Consider the following 19,177-nt stretch of genomic DNA (forward strand, 5'->3'; position numbering starts at 1 on the left):
TAGAGATACAAAAAACCCTTCAAAAAATCAATGAATCCAGGAGCTGGTTTTTTGAAAGGATCAACAAAATTGATAGACCACTAGCAAGACTAATAAAGAAAAAAAGAGAGAAGAATCAAATAGACACAATAAAAAATGATAAAGGGGATATCACCACTGATCCCACAGAAATACAAACTACCATCAGAGAATACTACAAACACCTCTACGCAAATAAACTAGAAAATCTAGAAGAAATGGATACATTCCTCGACACATACACTCTCCCAACACTAAACCAGGAAGAAGTTGAATCTCTGAATAGACCAATAACAGGAGCTGAAATTGTGGCAATAATCAATAGTTTACCAACCAAAAAGAGTCCAGGACCAGATGGATTCACAGCCGAATTCTACCAGAGGTACAAGGAGGAACTGGTACCATTCCTTCTGAAACTATTCCAATCAATAGAAAAAGAGGGAATCCTCCCTAACTCATTTTATGAGGCCAGCATCATTCTGATACCAAAGCCAGGCAGAGACACAACCAAAAAAGAGAATTTTAGACCAATATCCTTGATGAACATTGATGCAAAAATCCTCAATAAAATACTGGCAAACCGAATCCAGCAGCACATCAAAAAGCTTATCCACCATGATCAAGTGGGCTTCATCCCTGGGATGCAAGGCTGGTTCAATATACACAAATCAATAAATGTAATCCAGCATATAAACAGAGCCAAAGACAAAAACCACATGATTATCTCAATAGATGCAGAAAAAGCCTTTGACAAAATTCAACAACCCTTCATGCTAAAAACTCTCAATAAATTAGGTATTGATGGGACGTATTTCAAAATAATAAGAGCTATCTATGACAAACCCACAGCCAATATCACACTGAATGGGCAAAAACTGGAAGCATTCCCTTTGAAAACTGGCACAAGACAAGGATGCCCTCTCTCACCGCTCCTATTCAACATAGTGTTGGAAGTTCTGGCCAGGGCAATCGGGCAGGAGAAGGAAATAAAGGGTATTCAATTAGGAAAAGAGGAAGTCAAATTGTCCCTGTTTGCAGACGACATGATTGTTTATCTAGAAAACCCCATCGTCTCAGCCCAAAATCTCCTTAAGCTGATAAGCAACTTCAGCAAAGTCTCAGGATACAAAATCAATGTACAAAAATCACAAGCATTCTTATACACCAACAACAGATAAACAGAGAGCCAAATCATGAGTGAACTCCCATTCACAATTGCTTCAAAGAGAATAAAATACCTAGGAATCCAACTTACAAGGGATGTGAAGGACCTCTTCAAGGAGAACTACAAACCACTGCTCAATGAAATAAAAGAGGATACAAACAAATGGAAGAACATTCCATGCTCATGGGTAGGAAGAATCAATATCGTGAAAATGGCCATACTGCCCAAGGTAATTTACAGATTCAATGCCATCCCCATCAAGCTACCAATGACTTTCTTCACAGAATTGGAAAAAACTACTTTAAAGTTCATATGGAACCAAAAAAGAGCCCACATCGCCAAGTCAATCCTGAGCCAAAAGAACAAAGCTGGAGGCATCACACTACCTGACTTCAAACTATACTACAAGGCTACAGTAACCAAAACAGCATGGTACTGGTACCACAACAGAGATATAGATCAATGGAACAGAACAGAGCCCCCAGAAATAACGCCGCATACCTACAACTATCTGATCTTTGACAAACCTGAGAAAAACAAGCAATGGGGAAAGGATTCCCTATTTAATAAATGGTGCTGGGAAAACTGGCTAGCCATATGTAGAAAGCTGAAACTGGATCCCTTCCTTACACCTTATACAAAAAACAATTCAAGATGGATTAAAGATGTAAACGTTAGACCTAAAACCATAAAAACCCTAGAAGAAAACCTAGGCATTACCATTCAGGACATAGGCGTGGGCAAGGACTTCATGTCCAAAACACCAAAAGCAATGGCAACAAAAGCCAAAATTGACAAATGGGATCTAATTAAACTAAAGAGCTTCTGCACAGCAAAAGAAACTACCATCAGAGTGAACAGGCAACCTACAACATGGGAGAAAATTTTCACAACCTACTCATCTGACAAAGGGCTAATATCCAGAATCTACAATGAACTCAAACAAATTTACAAGAAAAAAAAAAAAACAACCCCATCAAAAAGTGGGCGAAGGACATGAACAGACACTTCTCAAAAGAAGACATTTATGCAGCCAAAAAACACATGAAAAAATGCTCATCATCACTGGTCATCAGAGAAATACAAATCAAAACCACTATGAGATATCATCTCACACCAGTTAGAATGGCCATCATTAAAAAGTCAGGAAACAACAGGTCCTGGAGAGGTTGTGGAGAAATAGGAACACTTTTACACTGTTGGTGGGACTGTAAACTAGTTCAACCATTGTGGAAGTCAGTGTGGCGATTCCTCAGGGATCTAGAACTAGAAATACCATTTGACCCAGCCATCCCATTACTGGGTATATACCCAAAGGACTATAAATCATGCTGCTATAAAGACACATGCACACGTATGTTTATTGTGGCATTATTCACAATAGCAAAGACTTGGAACCAACCCAAATGTCCAACAATGATAGACTGGATTAAGAAAATGTGGCACATATACACCATGGAATACTATGCAGCCATAAAAAATGATGAGTTCATATCCTTTGTAGGGATATGGATGAAATTGGAAATCATCATTCTCAGTAAACTATCGCAAGAACAAAAAACCAAACACCGTATATTCTCACTCATAGGTGGGAATTGAACAATGAGATCACCTGGACACATGAAGGGGAATACCACACTCTGGGGACTGTGGTGGGGTGGGGGGAGGGGGGAGGGATAGCATTGGGAGATATACCTAAGGCTAGATGACGAGTTAGTGGGTGCAGCGCACCAGCATGGCACATGTATACATATGTAACTAACCTGCACAATGTGCACATGTACCCTAAAACTTAAAGTATAAAAAAAAAAAAATGCAAATAAATGTGAAGATGAAAAAAAAAAAAAAAAAAGAAAGTGGGCCCTCACCAGACACCAAATCTGCTGGTGCCTTCATCTTGGACTTCCAGCCTTCAGAACGATGAGAAATAAATTTCAATTATAAGCCACCCAATTTATGGTATTTTGCTCTAGGAGCCCAAAAGGATCAAGACACAGGTATGAGTTTGGCTTATGCCAATTGTTTTTAATTCCCCTCAAGCTGACTTGTACATAGAAATGACCTCAGAACAACCACTCAGAGCATCTGGGGAGTCATTCCTTTCCTCTTCCTTGTTGTTTTTGATGGAAGGAAAAGTGTCAGGCCCATTGAAGTTACCACGTGCCATGGCTGTGAGTGCCTTCACTACTTGGAGTAGGCTCATCAGTAGACAACCCTCCCAGAGCTCTACGTGCAGCCGGCATCTGCGCGGTCTGTTAGGGTAAGTGCAGTTCAGGATCAATTATGGATGAGGCTCCACAGCAGATGAGTAAGTGGGCTGTTGTCTACTTTGAAAAATTAATGGGATCTGATTAATACGGGAGAACAGTCCCTCTCTTCCTCAACCCAGAGAGGCTCAGATCTCTGTGGAAGCTTGAGGGTTTGGCGGTTGGGGAGGAGGGAGCTCCTGTGTCTGTGGGTGTCAGGTTTGATTCATAGGATCATGCTTTGGAATTTTCTGCTCCTTTGACAGATGAGGCTGCTGAATTCCATCAAGGTGAATCAATTTGCCCAGACAGGTAGAAGGAAAGAGAATAGTCAATTAGTATTATTTTAAAAACTTAAAAGCTTTTCTCATATGGAAAATTAAAAACATTTACAGAAGTAGAGAGAGATCGATATCATGTAGCCATTCTCAAACTTTTTGGTCTTAGGAATGTTTTATAATTTCAAAAAATTATTGAGGACCTCAAGGGGCTTTTGTTTATTTGAGGTGCATCTATTGATATTAACCGTATTAGACGTTAAAACTCAGACACTTAAACATATTTATTAACTCATTTAAAAAAACAATAATCCTATTACATGTTAACACCAGTAACTTTTTTGTTTTTGACACTTTATGTCTACTATAAGCTTTCAGATGACAATTATACGTTCTCCATTAGATTTGCTTTTATTTCATTTTTATTGTAGTAAAATATATATAACAGAAAGTTTACCATTTTAACCTTCTTCTTTTTTTTTTTTTTTTTTTTTGAGACACAGCCTTGCTCTGTTGCCCAAGCTGGAGTGGGCAACAACCCATCCACCTTGGCCTCCCAAAGTGCTGGGATTACAGGTATGCACCACTGTGCCTCACCCCATTTTAACCATTTTTAAATGTACAGTTCAATGGCATTGAGTACACTCCCATTGTGCAACCATCACTGTTATCCATTTCCGGAAACTTTTCATCATCTCACACTGAAACTCTGTACCCATTAGCAACTCTCCATCCGCCTTCCCCCAGCCTCTTATGAATACTGTTCTACTTTCTGTCTCTATGATTTTCACTACTCTGGGTATTTCATATAAGTGGAATGATGTCATGTTTGTTCTTTTGTGAATGACTTATTTCACTTATCATAATGTCCTCAAGATTCATCCACATACTGTAGCCCATGTCTGAATTGCCTTCCTTTTTGAAACTGAATATTCCTTGTATGTGTACACCACCGAGTGATCCTCCATTGACAAGAGGCTGTGGCTGTTTCCACCTTTCGGCTGTTGTGAATGCAAACATTGGTGTACAAAGATACGTTTGAGACCCCGCTTTCAGTTCTTTTGTGTGTTTACCCAGAAGCGGAATTGCTGAATCACACGGTAATTCTGATGTTTCTGTTTTTGAGGAATCGTCCCACTGTTTTCCATCGTGACTGGAGCATTTTACATTCTCACCAACAGTGTGCATGTGTACCAATTTCTTCACATGCACTCCAACACACGTTTTCTGTTTTTCTTAATAGCAATCCCAATAAATGTTAAATACATTCTTAATTTAAAAACCCCAATATTTCCCAAACAAAAAAATTAGTGAGAAAAAGACATTGTATTACATTTTGTAAATCTTGAATGCCTGGCTTAATGGGCAGCTGGATTCTCATATCTGCTTTTTCATTTAATCTTTGTGACATCACATGCTGTGTGGCCTCTAGAAAACTCCACAGTACCCTCATGGGAGAAGGAAAGGGAGAAACGCAAATGACATGCTAGTATTATTAGGAAAATAGGTTTTTTTAAAAAATTTTTTTGAGATGGAGTCTCACTCTGTCACCCAGGCTGGAGTGCAGTGGCGCAATCTCAGCTCACTGTAACCTCCACCTCCCGGGTTCAAGTGATTCTCATGCCTCAGCCTCCTAAGTAGCTGGGACTACAGGCATCGTGCCTGGCTAATTTTTGTATTTTTTGTAGAGACGGGGTTTCACCATGTTGGCCAGGTTTGTCTCAAACTCTTGACCTCAAGTGATCCACCTGCCTCGGCCTCCCAAAGTTCTGGGATTACAGGTGTGAGCCACCACACCCGGCCAGGAAAATAGTTTTGATTTTGTGGACTTCAGCTTTAATTATCAACTCAGGGTCAATCTCGTTTCATCTCTTCTCCCTCTTGCCTCCCCTCTTCATTAGTTTGGAGCAAACCTATAACCATCAGTTACTATCAGCATTGCATTAGGCGCGGTCCTGTATCCTTTTCCTAACTGTCATAAGAAATCCACTTTATTAGCAGCTATGAGTATCTGGTTGTTCACACGAGGAAACCAGGCTTTGGGAACATTGGGAGATTTTCTCAGGTTCACACTGGAGAAGCTGAGGGCACACAGGCTGGAGCCCAGGTCAGATATTTATTATACCGTTTTCTTTTTGTTCTTGTTGTTGTTTTTCTTTGAGACAGAGTCTTGTTCTCATGCCCAGGCTGGAGTACAGTGGCACAATCTTGGCTCACTGCAACCTCCACCTCCTTGGTTCAAGTGATTCTCCTGCTACAGCCTCCTGAATAGCTGGGATTATAGGTGCCTGCCACCATGCCTAGCTAATTTTTGTATTTTTAGTAGAGATGGGGTTTCACTATGTTGGCCAGGCTGGTGTCGAACTCCTGACCTCAAGTGATCCACCTGCCTTGGCCTCCCAAAGTGCTGAGCTTACAGGTATGAGCCACCATGCCCGGTCAATATTATACTGTTTTCTACACTTGACATAAGACCATGAGCACTATTGGGTTGGCCTTCTGTCTGTGTCTTTTTCCCACTGGGACTTTAGGAAAAGCTCTTGTTTTCCTCCCTGCCTCCATCTCTCACATGTGGGTGCTCTTTTGGTAGGTTTTTGAGTAGCCCTCTAGCCAGGCCTCGCGCAGGCTCCTGGACAGATAGCTGAACTGGATGCTGCTGTTTGAAGCAATTCTGGATCATTTGTTTGGACTGGATCTGGATCATGAGTGGAGACACCTCTATTCACTGTCGAATTAATGGAGTCCACACAATGCAGGATCTGAGGTCATCCAGTCCTGACTGCCTCCCAAGACTGAAACCCTCTCTAAAACACTCTGCCCAAAGGTCATCTGACCTCTGCTTGTATACCTCCAGTGACGGGGAACTCACTACCTACCTCAGCAGACAGCCAGACCATAGATGGTGCTCTTATTGTTAGAAAGCTCCACTCACATTGCATAACATTGCAGGAACAACCTGGATTCACGCTGTGGTGGGAAAAACTCACACTGGGAGTTGAGATTCCTGGGTATGAGATTGGGGTCACTGTGGTTAAGTCCCATCCCCTTGAAGGGTTTCAGTTTCTTCGCTGTGAAGAGCACTTATCTCTGGTTCCTTTCACCACTAACATTCTGATGTATTTTCTAATTTAGCCACCTATTCTAGAGGAGCAGTATTGAAGGGCTTGGGGAAACCGAGTGCTCTCTAAGTGTGGCCCTCACCATCCTTCCTGGTGCGCTATCTCCAGCCGTGCATCCGAAAACATCCCAGTCTGCCCCTGGCCTCTGCATGGAGCCTGACCCCCAACACAGACCTCTCAAGAGGTTCTGGATTCACTGGTGCTGCTACAGCCCTGAGCAAAAACACAGCTGTTTCGTTTACCACCCCACCCCAACATAAGCTGTCCTCAGACTTTACAAAGACTTAGGGATTGCACAGTCCACAAGACTTTCAATGCCTTTGCCCTGTATCTCAACTAACTTTCAAATAGAGGGACCTTCTTATAGGAAGAAGAAGGAAAAATCAAGTGGAAAAACACCTTGATCAGGTAATTGAAGGAGAACTGGGGCTCAGGCTGCCACTTGGTTTGGAAAGGGTGTGGAGGTGGCTAATCTGGCCCTGGCCTAAGAGCAATTCCAGGCTGGCGGGCTGGACCGCCTGTCTCCATAGCAACTGTTGTTATTGGTAACTGAATAACCATTTCCTAGAACAGCGGCTGGAGCTGCTGATGGTTTTCCCTTCTACTTGGAAGCGAGAGGAGCCAGGCTCTTTGCTGATTGATCCTAAGTGCTGAGCTCTTTGCTGATTGGGATCTTCACTTGATATTGGGCAAGCTGAAGCCACCCTTCTGTTTTATCTCTGACCTCTGCCAGCAGAGAGGGTGGGACAAACTGACTTAATGTCTATTTTCCGGCTTCCTCTGAGAGGTTGAGAAAGGTGCTCAAGGGCATTTAGCTAGCAAGATCTAGAACTTGAACTTTGCCCTGTCTGATTCTGAAACCCATGCTCGTGACCACATGGCTGTTCTGACTCTGTCCCATTCCTCTGAGATCTCATGAAAACCTGATTAGCCCTTTCTCATGACACCATGAGCTGTCTAATTATTTGTGAGGACAGGTAGCATCTTACAGTGATCCATGGTCTGCACAAAGGCTGTTCTAGAAGCTGTCTTACTTGATTATCCTGCAGTGGTGTCAGTGGGACCTTAAAATGCTGTAGCCCTAGAGTTATTAGGGTCATGCTCACTGAGGCCATTGCCTCAAACTTCCTGCTCTCCCCCTGCACTCTCCCTCCATCCTGGGGAGTGATAGGTGGTGGAGCAGACCTGGCTACAGGAGTGAATTCCAGATCACTTTCATGGAGGCACTTAGGCTATTGTGTTTGTTACCAAGCCAAAGGAGCTTGCTGCCCAATGCACTAGAAGCCAATACTATGACACTGGGTTTTTGAGAAACAAAAAGCTTTTTAAGTCGACTAACAAGGAGACAGGAGTCCGGCTCAAATCTGTCTCCCTGTGCTGGCTTTCAGTCATTTCATTAAAAAAGGTTGAGGGGGTAGATTCTGGGATTAGCGGATGATTGGTGGAAGGAAAGGGGAGGTCTGGAAAGTCCTCGGGCACGCGCAGTTCTCTCTCTATGCTACCACATGTGCAAATTTGCGGGGAGTGTTCATGTGGAACAGGCAGTGTTTCCTGTTTCCAGACCAGGCAAGGTGGCTCACAAATGGCTCTACGATCCAGAGAAAGTCAGCAGGGAGGGTTGTGATTTGTTATTATGAAAAATTAACAAATTACATCCAAAATGTGTTTAACTCCTATTCCCTTTGAAAAGGATCTTTGGGTACCTAATTGACATATTTTAAGAGACATATTGGCTAGTTAGACATCAATTGACATCCTCATTAAATATCAATTAACACATATCCTAACGTAATATTTAATTAGCTTGCTGTAGCTATTCTTTTAAAAGTCAATTAAATGCTTGGCATATTCTTACAAGCCGACTCCATTGATAGCAATTATGGATGAATTCCTGTCATAAGTCATTTTTAGTGGATAGCAGGGCAAACTGATTCTGAATATACACATCAGGTCTTTCAAGAAGAATTTAAAAATCAATCATTAGATATCTAATGAACCCTCTTCTCTGCTGATTGTGAATAAAAGGCATGTTCGGCTCTTGGACTGTAGTTTAGTGCATTTTCACATGATTGTTGGAACTCTAGGTCAAACAGAACAGACACCTGCCTCCAGGGAGAGTCGTGCTTCATTTGAAAAGAAAATTGTGGTAAAATAAACATAACATAAAATGTAGCATCTTAACCTTTTAAAAATGTATAGTTCAGTAGAGTTAAGTACATTTGCATTGTACAACCAGTCTCCAGAACCGTTTTAATCTTGCAGTTCTGAAACTCTTGTACCCATTAAATAATGATTCCCTTTCCTCTCTCCCCTGAGCCCGGGCAACCACCATTCTAATTTCCATCTCTAGGAGTTTGACTACTTGAGGTGCCTCATATGGAATTATACAATATCTTGTGTGTGTGTGACTGGCTTATTTAACTTAGCATAATGTCCTCAAGGTTCATCCATTTTGTAGCATGCATTAGAATTTCCCTCCTTTTAAAGGCTGAGTAATACTGCATTGTATGTCTAGACCACATTTTGTTTATCCATTCATCTGTTAATGGACACTTGCATTGCTTCTACCTTTTGGCTATTTGGAATAATGCTGCTGTGAACACGGGTATACAGGTATCTCTTGGAGACCCTGCTTTCCATTCTTTGGGTACATACCCAGAAGTAGGATTGCTGGATCATAGAGTGTATTAGTCTGTTCCCATGCTGCTAGTAAAGACATACCTGAGACTGGATAATTTATAAAGGAAAGAGGTTTAACGGACTCACAGTTCCACATGGCTGAGTAGGCCTCATAATCATGGCAGAAGGCAAGGAGGAGCAAGTCACGTCTTACACAGCGGGTGTCAGACAAACAGAGAGAACTTGTGCAGGGGAACTCCTCTTTATATAACCATCAGATCTCTTGAGACTTATTCACTATCATGAGAACAGCACAGGAAAGACCCACCCCCATGATTCAGTTACCTCCCTCTGGGTCCCTCCCGTAACACGTGGGAATTGTGGGAGCTATAATTCAAGATGAGATTTGGATGGGGACATAGCCAAACCATATCATAGAGTAATTCTATTTTGAGTTTTTTTTGTGGACATTTTTAAGTTAATTTATTCAATGCACTCATTAAGCACCTGTGCTAGTGGACATTCTTAAAAAAGGTGAGCTCAGTCTGGTGAGCTGGCCGGCCCAGGAGTAAGCCTAACCTGTTAGGGCTACTGCTGCAGTAGTGATAATGTGAGCCCAGATGGTGTGATCAGTGCATTTCTAACAGTGTGGCATGGATCAGGCATAGCAGGGAGGAGAGTCAACACAGCTGGCCTGAGGCTGCATCCTCAGAAAGGTCTACTTGCAAGGTTGGCCCTTGGCTGGTGTCTGGGTACTTGGGTTTTGGGAGGATTCTGCCATTCCCGTAGCTGATAATAGTGGCTCACTGTGCCTAAACTGTTTGTAGGCATGTGCTGAGCCCCTACTTTCCTTCTGGGAGTCTGGAATTTCAGTACATGTTAGGCAGAGTGTGCTTATATGACCTGTCCCAGTAGAAGCCGTGAGTATTGACTCTCTAATGAGCTTTCCTGGTAGGCAACACCTCACACATGTCAACACCTGTCCCTGGGAGAATGAAGTGCATACTGTGTGACTCCACTGGGAGAGGACTCTGTGAAGATCGCACCTGGTTTTCTCTGGACTTTGTCCCATGTGCCTTTTCCCTTGGCTGATTGTTTCATATCTTTTTGCTGTCATGAATCACAGCCATTACTATGACTCTGCATTGAGTCCTGTGAGTCCTCCAGAGAATCATGGAAGTGTTCCTGGGGACCCCTGACATAGGTGATACCCTGCAGGAGGCCTTATAGAAGCAGAGGGGACATCCGAGGTAGCTCTTGAAGGACAGGGAAGAGTTTTCCAGGTGGACAAGGGAGGGGTAGCCGTCTAGCCAAAGGCACATCATGAGCTCAGGCATAGAGCCTGGAGGAGAGTGGCCTGACTAGGCAGCTGCAGCTGAAACAGAGGACAGCCAAAGCCAAAAGGGTACGGGATGGCCGCTCATGACAGGCCAGGAGCTGAAGAGCTGGGACTCTGTCCATCAGGCAATGAGGAGCCCCAGTGGAGTTTGGAGCAGGAGTGAGGGATGAGGGTTCTGCTGAAAGCCCCAGTGGGGGATTCCAGGTGTAGTGAGAAGAGAAGGAAAGCAGACAGAATGAGAAAGCAGTTGATAGAGTAGCCAAGGGGGTGGAGAAGAGGGAGGAAAAGGGAAGGAGGCTGGAGAAGGAGGAAAGACAGTCATCAGGTACCCATGGGAGAACAAGTCATCCCTGCCTATGGTCCACAATAGGGCAACCACCACTGCCCAAGTCCTCAGAGGATTTCCTCCACATCCTGCAGGAGAGAGGCTGCCCTGGCTCTGTTGGCCAAGGCAGCTGGGGTGAGCCATGTGTCTCTCTCTGCCTCAGTTTGTCTCTCTGTTAAATGGGAATGCAACAACACCTACTTGATGGTTGTTGTGAGGAATTCCTGGAATAACAGATGTGATTCAACTTTTATCCCCTAATGTGATGTCCTCAGGTGGAGGTGAAGATGGAGGTAATTTCTAAGTCTGGGGCCTGAAAGCTGGGTTCAGAGACAGGCCACATGCCACGTCAGGTCAGACAGTGAGGTAGCTTTGCAGAAGGAAGCCAAGTGTATTAGTCCATTTTCACGCTGCTGATAAAGACATACCTGAGACTGGGAAGAAAAAGAGGTTTAATGGACTTACAGTTCCACATGGTTGGGGAGGCCTCACAATCATGGTGGAAGGCAAGGAGGAGAAAGTCACATCTTACATGGATGGTGGCAGGCAAAGAGAGAGCTTGTGTAGGGAAACTCCTGTTTTTAAAACCATCAGATCTCATGAGACTCATTCACTATCACGAGAACAGTGCAGGAAAAGCCCACCCCCATAATTCAATCACCTCCCACCAGGTTCCTCCTATGACACCTGGGAATTGTGGGAGTTACAATTCCAGATGAGATTTGGGTGGGGACACAGCCAAACCATATCACCAAGCTTCTGGAGACATCCATTCCTGATGTGGGAAAGTGATGCCACGTATTCTGGCTGAATTAGTGAATTCAGTCCCTCCTAGGACACTGTATCTTGGCTACAGAGAGGCATCTTCACCCTGGAGGTGGGGACCACATGGTGGCATGGGACGGGGAGGAATAGCACACTGCACAGGGTGCTGGGGGCCTGCTCTGGTGCCTGCTCCCTCTGTGTCCTGGGTGGCGTGTGATGTGGCTAACGTGACTGCTCTGTGTCTGGATTCTGCATTGTGCCTGTGCCTGGCCTTGGAACCACTTTCACCCTGAAAAGTAACTCCAGGACTGTTGCTTCTGCCCATTGCCACTCCCCTGCCTACAAGATAAAGGCCATGCTTCTTAGCTTGGCATTCAAGGCCCCCATAATGACCTCCAACCCTTTTTCCTGATGTCTGCCCTGGCTCCGCCCCCTGGCACCTCCTCATTATATTCTCTGACTGCACTTTTTACCCCATTCCTGACATTACACCCACCTAGTCTAGTCTACCACCAAGGCAATGACCCCCACGCCTCAGTAGCTAAAGCTTTTCCAAACTGTGATCTTGGGCAAGTTCCCTCTGGTGCCTCAGTTTCCTCATATGTAGGAAGGACATGACACGAGAGGCTGCCCTGTTGGCAGCTGGGACTACTTCATTGTTTGTCTTGGGGATTAGGCAAGATGGGGTTGAACCAGTGACTACCTGAGGCTTCTGTCTACTCTGCCCCAAGACCACCTGCTCCCAAGCCCCTCTCTGGCACCATCTGTCCTCATTTCTGCCCCCAAGCTTCTGGCCTTTATTCTCAGAGATGGCCCTGGGTGTTGCACAAGCAAGGTTTGGCCTCAAACAGACCTGGTTTAAAACTCACAGGTTGGGTGCCCCTAGACAAGTCACTCCTCTCCTCTGATCCTTAGGTGGGTAACAGGGGGAGCTCATGGAGACTGATGAGTTAACACTTGCAAAATGCCCAATGTCCAGGTGCTCTGTGAATGTCAGTTTCCTCCCTCCTTCCATGCCCAGTGCGGGTCTGGCTTCAATTCTGACGTTAAGTCAGCCCAGCAGCATGACTGGGAAGAGTGGATTCTGCAGTCTGCCGGGAGTCAGCTTTGCCATTCACTGGCTGTGTGAACTTGGGTGGGCCACTTAAACTCTCCAAACTCTGAGTTTCTCATGTGTAAGATGGGGGCAATCAAGTGTCCACCCCTAAGCGTTGTTGTGAGGAGCTGGCAAGAGATCACAGCCCCGTGCCTGACACATAAGAAACTCTTAGGTAAAGCTTTGCTGCTACTAGTGATCTTTTCTTTCCCAACTCTAGTGGATTGTACTTTCCAAAGGAGGCTGCAACAATAGCTCCCATCCCATATGCTCTTCTTACAAGGTGACCTTGATACACCCCATCAGGAGGTGAAGTCTATGTCCCCAACCCTTGAAGTTGAACAGACCTTTGCAACTGCTTTGACCAACAGAGTATGGCACAATGACGCGATGTGTCTTCCAAAGGGAGGTCATGATAGGCAATATAGCCTTGCCTGGCTCTCCCTCTCTAGGCACACTTGCTCTAGGAGCCCAGCCACCATGCTGTGAGGAAGCCCAGGTGACCAGGAGAGGCCATGTGTAGGCGTTTTGGATGACAACCAGCCTCAGTTATCAGAAATGCATGAGTGAACCTTTAAATGATTCCAAGCCCCAGCTCCTGTCTGAGCACAACTGCAGGAGAGAGCGGAGAACCGCCCAGCTGAACCCAATCAGTCCCCAAACTGTGAGAGATAGTGATAATGATACTAATAAAAAAATTCTGTGGGCTGAGCACAGCGGCTCATCCCTGTAGTCCCAGCTATTTGGGAGGCTGAGGTGGGAGGATTGTCTGAGCCCAGAAGTTTGAGACCAGCCTGGCCAACGTAGTGGAACCCCATCTCTCCAAAAAATTAAAAAAATTAGCTGGGTGTGGGGGCACATGCCTGTAGTCTCAGCTACTTGGAAGGCTGAGGTGGGAGGATTGCTTGAGCTTGGGAAGTTGAGGCTGCAGTAAACTATGATCGCATCATTGCACTCCAGCCTGGGTGACAGCAAGACCCCATCTCAAAAAAAAAAAAAAATCATTTGGTGAATATTTTTAAGGGAAAACAGCAAAGTTTTTTCCTATTAGTCGGTGACCTCAGCATGGCATCAATAGAAAAACAAGTTGGGAGGAGGGGTTGCTGGTGGCTATTGATAACTGTCATGGAGGGCTTAGGATGACAGCAGAGTTGTCCCTGGGGATCGTCGTGAACCTCAGCTTCGAAGCTAAGCACAGACAACACAGAGGCGGCAGCAGCCGGTGGGGATGTGTGTGGGCCTGCAAGTCAGACCTGGGTGGATCCTGCTTCCAGCACCCACCAACTGTGTGGCTTTGGGCAAGTCCCTTCCCTATTCTGGACCTCACTGGAGACATGTTTAATACACAGGGGCTGGGCTTGAATGTTCGTAAAGATGCTTTGGCCACACACAGGGCTGTGATTCTCAGAGAGAAAACCCCCCTTCCGCGCCCTCTCCCACTGCCAGGTGGAGATGGTTAGGAGGTCGGGAGCCTCTGCAGGACACAGGGCAATCCCCATAGAGACACCAGCTTGCTCAGTCCGTCCGCCATCTTCATGGTCTTCTCTGCCGGCCCTCTTTACCTTGCATTTCCCAGCATCACCTCACCGACTCCTCTCATTGCCACATTTCTGTCCTGTCACCTCCCCTCACATTTTGCTGTCACCCACACCCTTGTAGCCATCCTGACAGGTTCCCACTGTCTCCCCAATGCATTCATAGACTCTCCTACAACTGCCATCAAATCCCACCCTCTTGCTTCACAATCCCTCACAATCCAAATGTCAATTCCTTTTACAATTTCAGGTCACATGCCAACATCCATCCTCTTCACCCCTGCAACCCCCAGATGCTCTACAACCTCAAGGCACCACCTCCACTCTCTACTACCACCCCTGAAGCTGCCCAGCCTTTGCCTATACTTTTGTGGTCACCTGGACCATGGTAAACGCTTCCCCTGTCTTCTCATTGTCCCCCTCACCCCACCCAAAACCAGCCTGAAAATTACTGAGTTCCCATTTGCTGCCTGGATCTCTGCTCCGTTTCCTCGTTTGATAATGAAGAGTTGTTAGTATAATCTCTGCTTTGCACGTGGAGGACTTGAGGTTCAGGGAGGCTAACTAATCTGCTTGGAGTTTCACGGGGCCGATGCCTGAATAGCCGACACCTGGCTAATGTCATGCCTGCCCCTGCTGCCTCCTGCTTCTCTTACCCGCATTGTCTGACTTTCATCCTATTCTCTCTCCCTCCTCCTGCACACCCCCTCCCCACACCTCCTCCCTTCCAAGTGCCCTGTGTCGAACTGAGGCAGAATGATCTGAGTACAAAGGATGGAAAGATCCAGCAAGCATGGAATCCTTTGGCTCTTGGAGCCTCAGATTTCTTAACTATAAAATGGGAGCAAGAGATGGTTCCTTCACGTGACTGCTATGAGCATAAGCAAGAGCATACCTGTGGCGTCATGTAACAGAGTTGGGTGCACAGAAAGCATTTAATGAATGAACAAAAATATTCCAGGCACAGGATGCCATCAGGTCATGAAAAACATCTTTTCCAGATCCCCCCACGAGGCCCACCTTTGTCCCCCTGCCTGTGCTCTGGGCTGGTGGGATGGTGGCACAGTCAGCTCCAGTAAGCCCTGTGGGCCAGAGGCTTTTACTCTGCACCTTTACTCAGCCCCTTAGGGAAGAAGACCCCAGATGAGGCCCCAGGGCACAGTTATCAAGAGGCTGAGCAGAGCTTGGAGCCGGAAACTAGAGTTGAAATCCAGCTCTGCCACTCAATGGCCATCGAACTTCATCTCTTTGTGCCTCAGTTTCATCATTTGTAAAATGGGGATATAGGCTGTGCCCGTCTCATTGGGCTGGTTGTGAGAATGCAATGAGTAAATCCAAGCACCTTGGCACATGGTGAGTGCTCAGTAGATGTTAGCTACTGTTCTCACCACGGAACCCGCTGAGCCCCAGGAGCCAGAGATCCCTGCTTGGCACCAACAAGGGACCTGAGGTTGTGAGCTGTGCACAGAAGGCCAGGCCCAGGTCCAGGACGGTCTTTCTCCAGCCCCCTTATGTGCCAGGCTTTGTCATCGGCTCTCTCCACACCCAGCTTTTAGGAATATAATTATGAGACCCACTTCCAGGTGAAGAAACTGAAGCTCAGAGATGCTGAGAAACTCCCCAGCTGGTAAGAGGCAGTCGGGATCAGAGCCCGGATTGGCTGTTACTTCAATTGCTCATCTCCAGCCATTCACCTGGCACTGAGGACCTGCTATGTGCCAGGCACTGTTCCAGGTCCTAGGGGTACTCTGCAGAGAAACATGGATATGATGCCTGCCATTCCTGGATTTCTACAAGGGCACGCTGCCTCAGGAGCAGGGGAAATTCAGGCCTCAAATCTTCTGGGCAAGCATTGTTCATAGGGTCAGCTGAGCTATGCATGGACAGGTATAAGTGGAGCTTGAAGAGTTAAAAAATAAACAAGAGCCAAATATTTCTCTGGGTACTGATGACTGCTTGATCAATGAAGAAGGAAGAAAAGATTGGGGTGACTGGGGCTGCATTAATAGAGGTTTAATAATCAGAATAAAGGAGGTGAGAGTCCCACTTGTTGCAATCTGGATCAGATCTCATCAGTTCTACACTCGCATGATAAGGAGAACATGGGGTCATTGAACAGATGATATCAAAAGCAGCTAGGATGGCCTGTGGGCCTTGGCTGAAGAGCTGGGGAGGTGCATCAGGCAAAGAGGCAGCTTACTTGGGGCATCAGTGTTGTTTTCAGCTGCCCAAGGGTGTCTTATGGACTCACTTCAAGGAACTTGGAGGGCCTTAAGGTCATAACCTGGACCAGATAGTGAACATTACAGAGTTCTTATGAGAATGAACTTTGACCTATCAAAATCCTCAGTAATGGGAGGCAGTTACTAGAAGCAGTGAGTTCCTTGTCACGTAAAGAGTGTGAGCAGAAGCTAGAAGATCATTTAACTAGGGCACTTGGGAGGCGTGTCGGACTAGGAAGCATCTCAGGTTTCCATGCAGCTCATGCCTAGAGTCTCTGCTTTTACTGTTCCTTCTGTGTGGAAGGCGTTCCAGGTAGTGCCTTCTCATCCTTTAGGTCTCAGCTTTAATATCACCTCCTCAAGGAAGTCTCCTTTGATCACGCAAGGTAGGTTTCTTCCTCTCCCACCCCACTATTCTCTATTTCAGAGACCTATTGAATTCCTTCACAGGATTTTCCACAATTTGTAATTATTTAGTTTGTTTTACTTGTTTGATGTCGAATGCCCTCAAAAGACTGCAGATGCAGGAAGGTAGAGACCAAATTATCTCTGTTTGTTTTGTTGTCTTGTTTACCAGCTGTGCCTCCAATACCTGGGATATAGCAGGTCCTCAGTAAGCATTTCTTGGATGGATGGATGGATGGATGGAGAGATGAACTGATAGACAGATAGATGAATGATGGATGGATGAATGGATGGATGAGTGGATGGATAAGTAGACGGGTGAATGAATGAATAAATGAATTTATGTGTGGGTGGATGGATGACTTCCAGCTCACATATTTTCAGGTGTAAATTCTCTGTGTGTTCAGGACATCCTTATATGTAGATTATCAGCAGAGAGCTGAGCTATGTGCGTGTTTCATTTCCAGTTCCTGTGGACAGGAATTATGACGTCTCTGGGGAATCACTGTAGTGAACTGATTAGCAGCTAATTACAGGAGGACATTTTATGTTTTGACCCCAGAATTAACCACATGAACTTTGATGAAGAGGAAAATCAAGGACTGGGTGAATTCATTTAAATTTAGTTTAATATGTCCTTTCAGCACATAAGCAGCTAATAAAAATGGACATCTTTCATGTGCAAATCTCCTCGGAAGGGTCCTCCGTGGATGTTCCAGGGTCACAGCCAATTCTCTTTGAAGTGTGGCCCAAAGATCTCTAGAGGCAGGTTCGTGAGCTTTGTTAAAATGTAGATTCTGGGGCCCACCCCAGACCCACTGAATGGGAACTTCGGAAGTGGGGCCCAGGATGGGACATTTCTGAAGCACTCTTGTCCGAGCTTAGGCTCCTGGGAAACCATCTCAGACAGACCCTAACAGATAATGAAACAGGCCAGCCACGCACAGTGGCTCATGCCTGCAATCCCAGCACTTTGGAAGGCCTAGGCGGGCAGATCACTTGAGGTCAGGAGTTCGAGACCAGCTTGGCCAACATGGTGAAGTCTCATCTCTACTAAAAGTACAAAAAAATTAGCTGGACGTGGTGGCACGTGCTCATAATCCCAGCTACTTGGGAGGCTGAGGCACAAGCATCACTTGAACTAGGGAGGTGGAGGTTGTAGTGAGCTGAGATCGTGCCACTGCACTCCAGCCTGGGTGATGGAATGAGACTCTGTCTCACAAAAAGAAAGAAAATTATTATATTAAAAAAAAAAAAAGAGAAGCAGCAGCTGAGGCCAGAGAGGGACAGTGACCTACTTAAGGTCACCCAGCAAATCCATGGCACAGCTCAGACTAGAACCTTCTCTTTTGTCTGCCAGACCAACAGCCTGTTCTTGATGATGGGTGAGAGTGAATGGAATTTAGGGTTAAAAGTAATCATATTGCTCCCATCTTAAACTTACATTTTCCAGTCCCAATTTTCTATGAGTAATGTCCATTAAATAATTAATGTTCCTGAAAATAGTCTGGGCTTCCTCATGCCTTTTTATTCCTGGAACATCAAACCTTTTCAGATCATAATTAATTAAGACTCTTGATGTCCCCGAGAGGTAGCCAGACACCCGCAGAAACTTGGTAATTGGTTCCGAATACCAAGAGACACAGTCTGCATTCTAGAATTTCCCTGATTTGAGAAGGGGATGGGACTGGAGAGAGACTAACGTGGCCCCGAGGGCTGCCACGCACCAGGCAATGTGCAAGTTGCTTCTCATATGTTCTCACGTCTCAGTCTTGTGACACTGGGAGGTACGTGGAATTATCCCCATTTTACAAATAGAGGCAATGGAGGCTCAGACCACCCAAGGTGGCATTCTTCAGCCTGGTGGCATTGAAGGAGGTGGCAAATCTGTGTTACAGAACTCATCACATTCTCACAAATTGAGGTCAGCGTGGTGATTGTTCTACGCTGTTTTTTGTTTTGTTTTGTTTTGTTCTGTTCTGTTTAGAGATAGCGTCTTGCTCTGTAACCCAGGCTGGAGTTCAGTGTGGTCCAACCATGGCTCA

General features: G+C 45.5%; 2 long non-coding RNA genes across 3 annotated transcripts in view, besides 1 other annotated feature; one reads left to right on the forward strand and one right to left on the reverse strand.

Moving 5' to 3' along the window:
* LOC101927200 (uncharacterized) overlaps nt 1-3,401 on the forward strand; it is a 91,977-nt gene extending 88,576 nt beyond the window's left edge. Inside the window, exon 4 of the long non-coding RNA XR_936741.3 lies at nt 3,314-3,401. This is a non-coding gene — a long non-coding RNA (uncharacterized LOC101927200). The remainder of the gene's footprint in view (nt 1-3,313) is intronic.
* On the reverse strand, nt 3,184-7,431 carry LOC105372625 (uncharacterized). Of its 2 annotated transcripts, none has more exons than XR_936740.4 (3): nt 7,226-7,431; nt 6,584-6,711; nt 3,184-3,701 (listed from the first exon to the last, which is right to left on the reverse strand). It is a non-coding gene; the product is annotated as an uncharacterized LOC105372625 (long non-coding RNA). The 2 variants fall into 2 exon arrangements; XR_936739.4 differs by having other exon boundaries at nt 3,184-3,704; nt 7,226-7,430.
* Nucleotides 8,125-8,234: an enhancer, noted in NCBI's record as "active region_17915". NCBI's record gives its function as "activates an Ori minimal core promoter by ATAC-STARR-seq in GM12878 lymphoblastoid cells {active_cell/tissue: GM12878}" and the evidence as "EXISTENCE:reporter gene assay evidence [ECO:0000049][PMID:35858748]".

The sequence above is a fragment of the Homo sapiens genome, chromosome 20, assembly GCF_000001405.40.
Source record: "Homo sapiens chromosome 20, GRCh38.p14 Primary Assembly".
Lineage (NCBI taxonomy): Eukaryota > Metazoa > Chordata > Mammalia > Primates > Hominidae > Homo > Homo sapiens.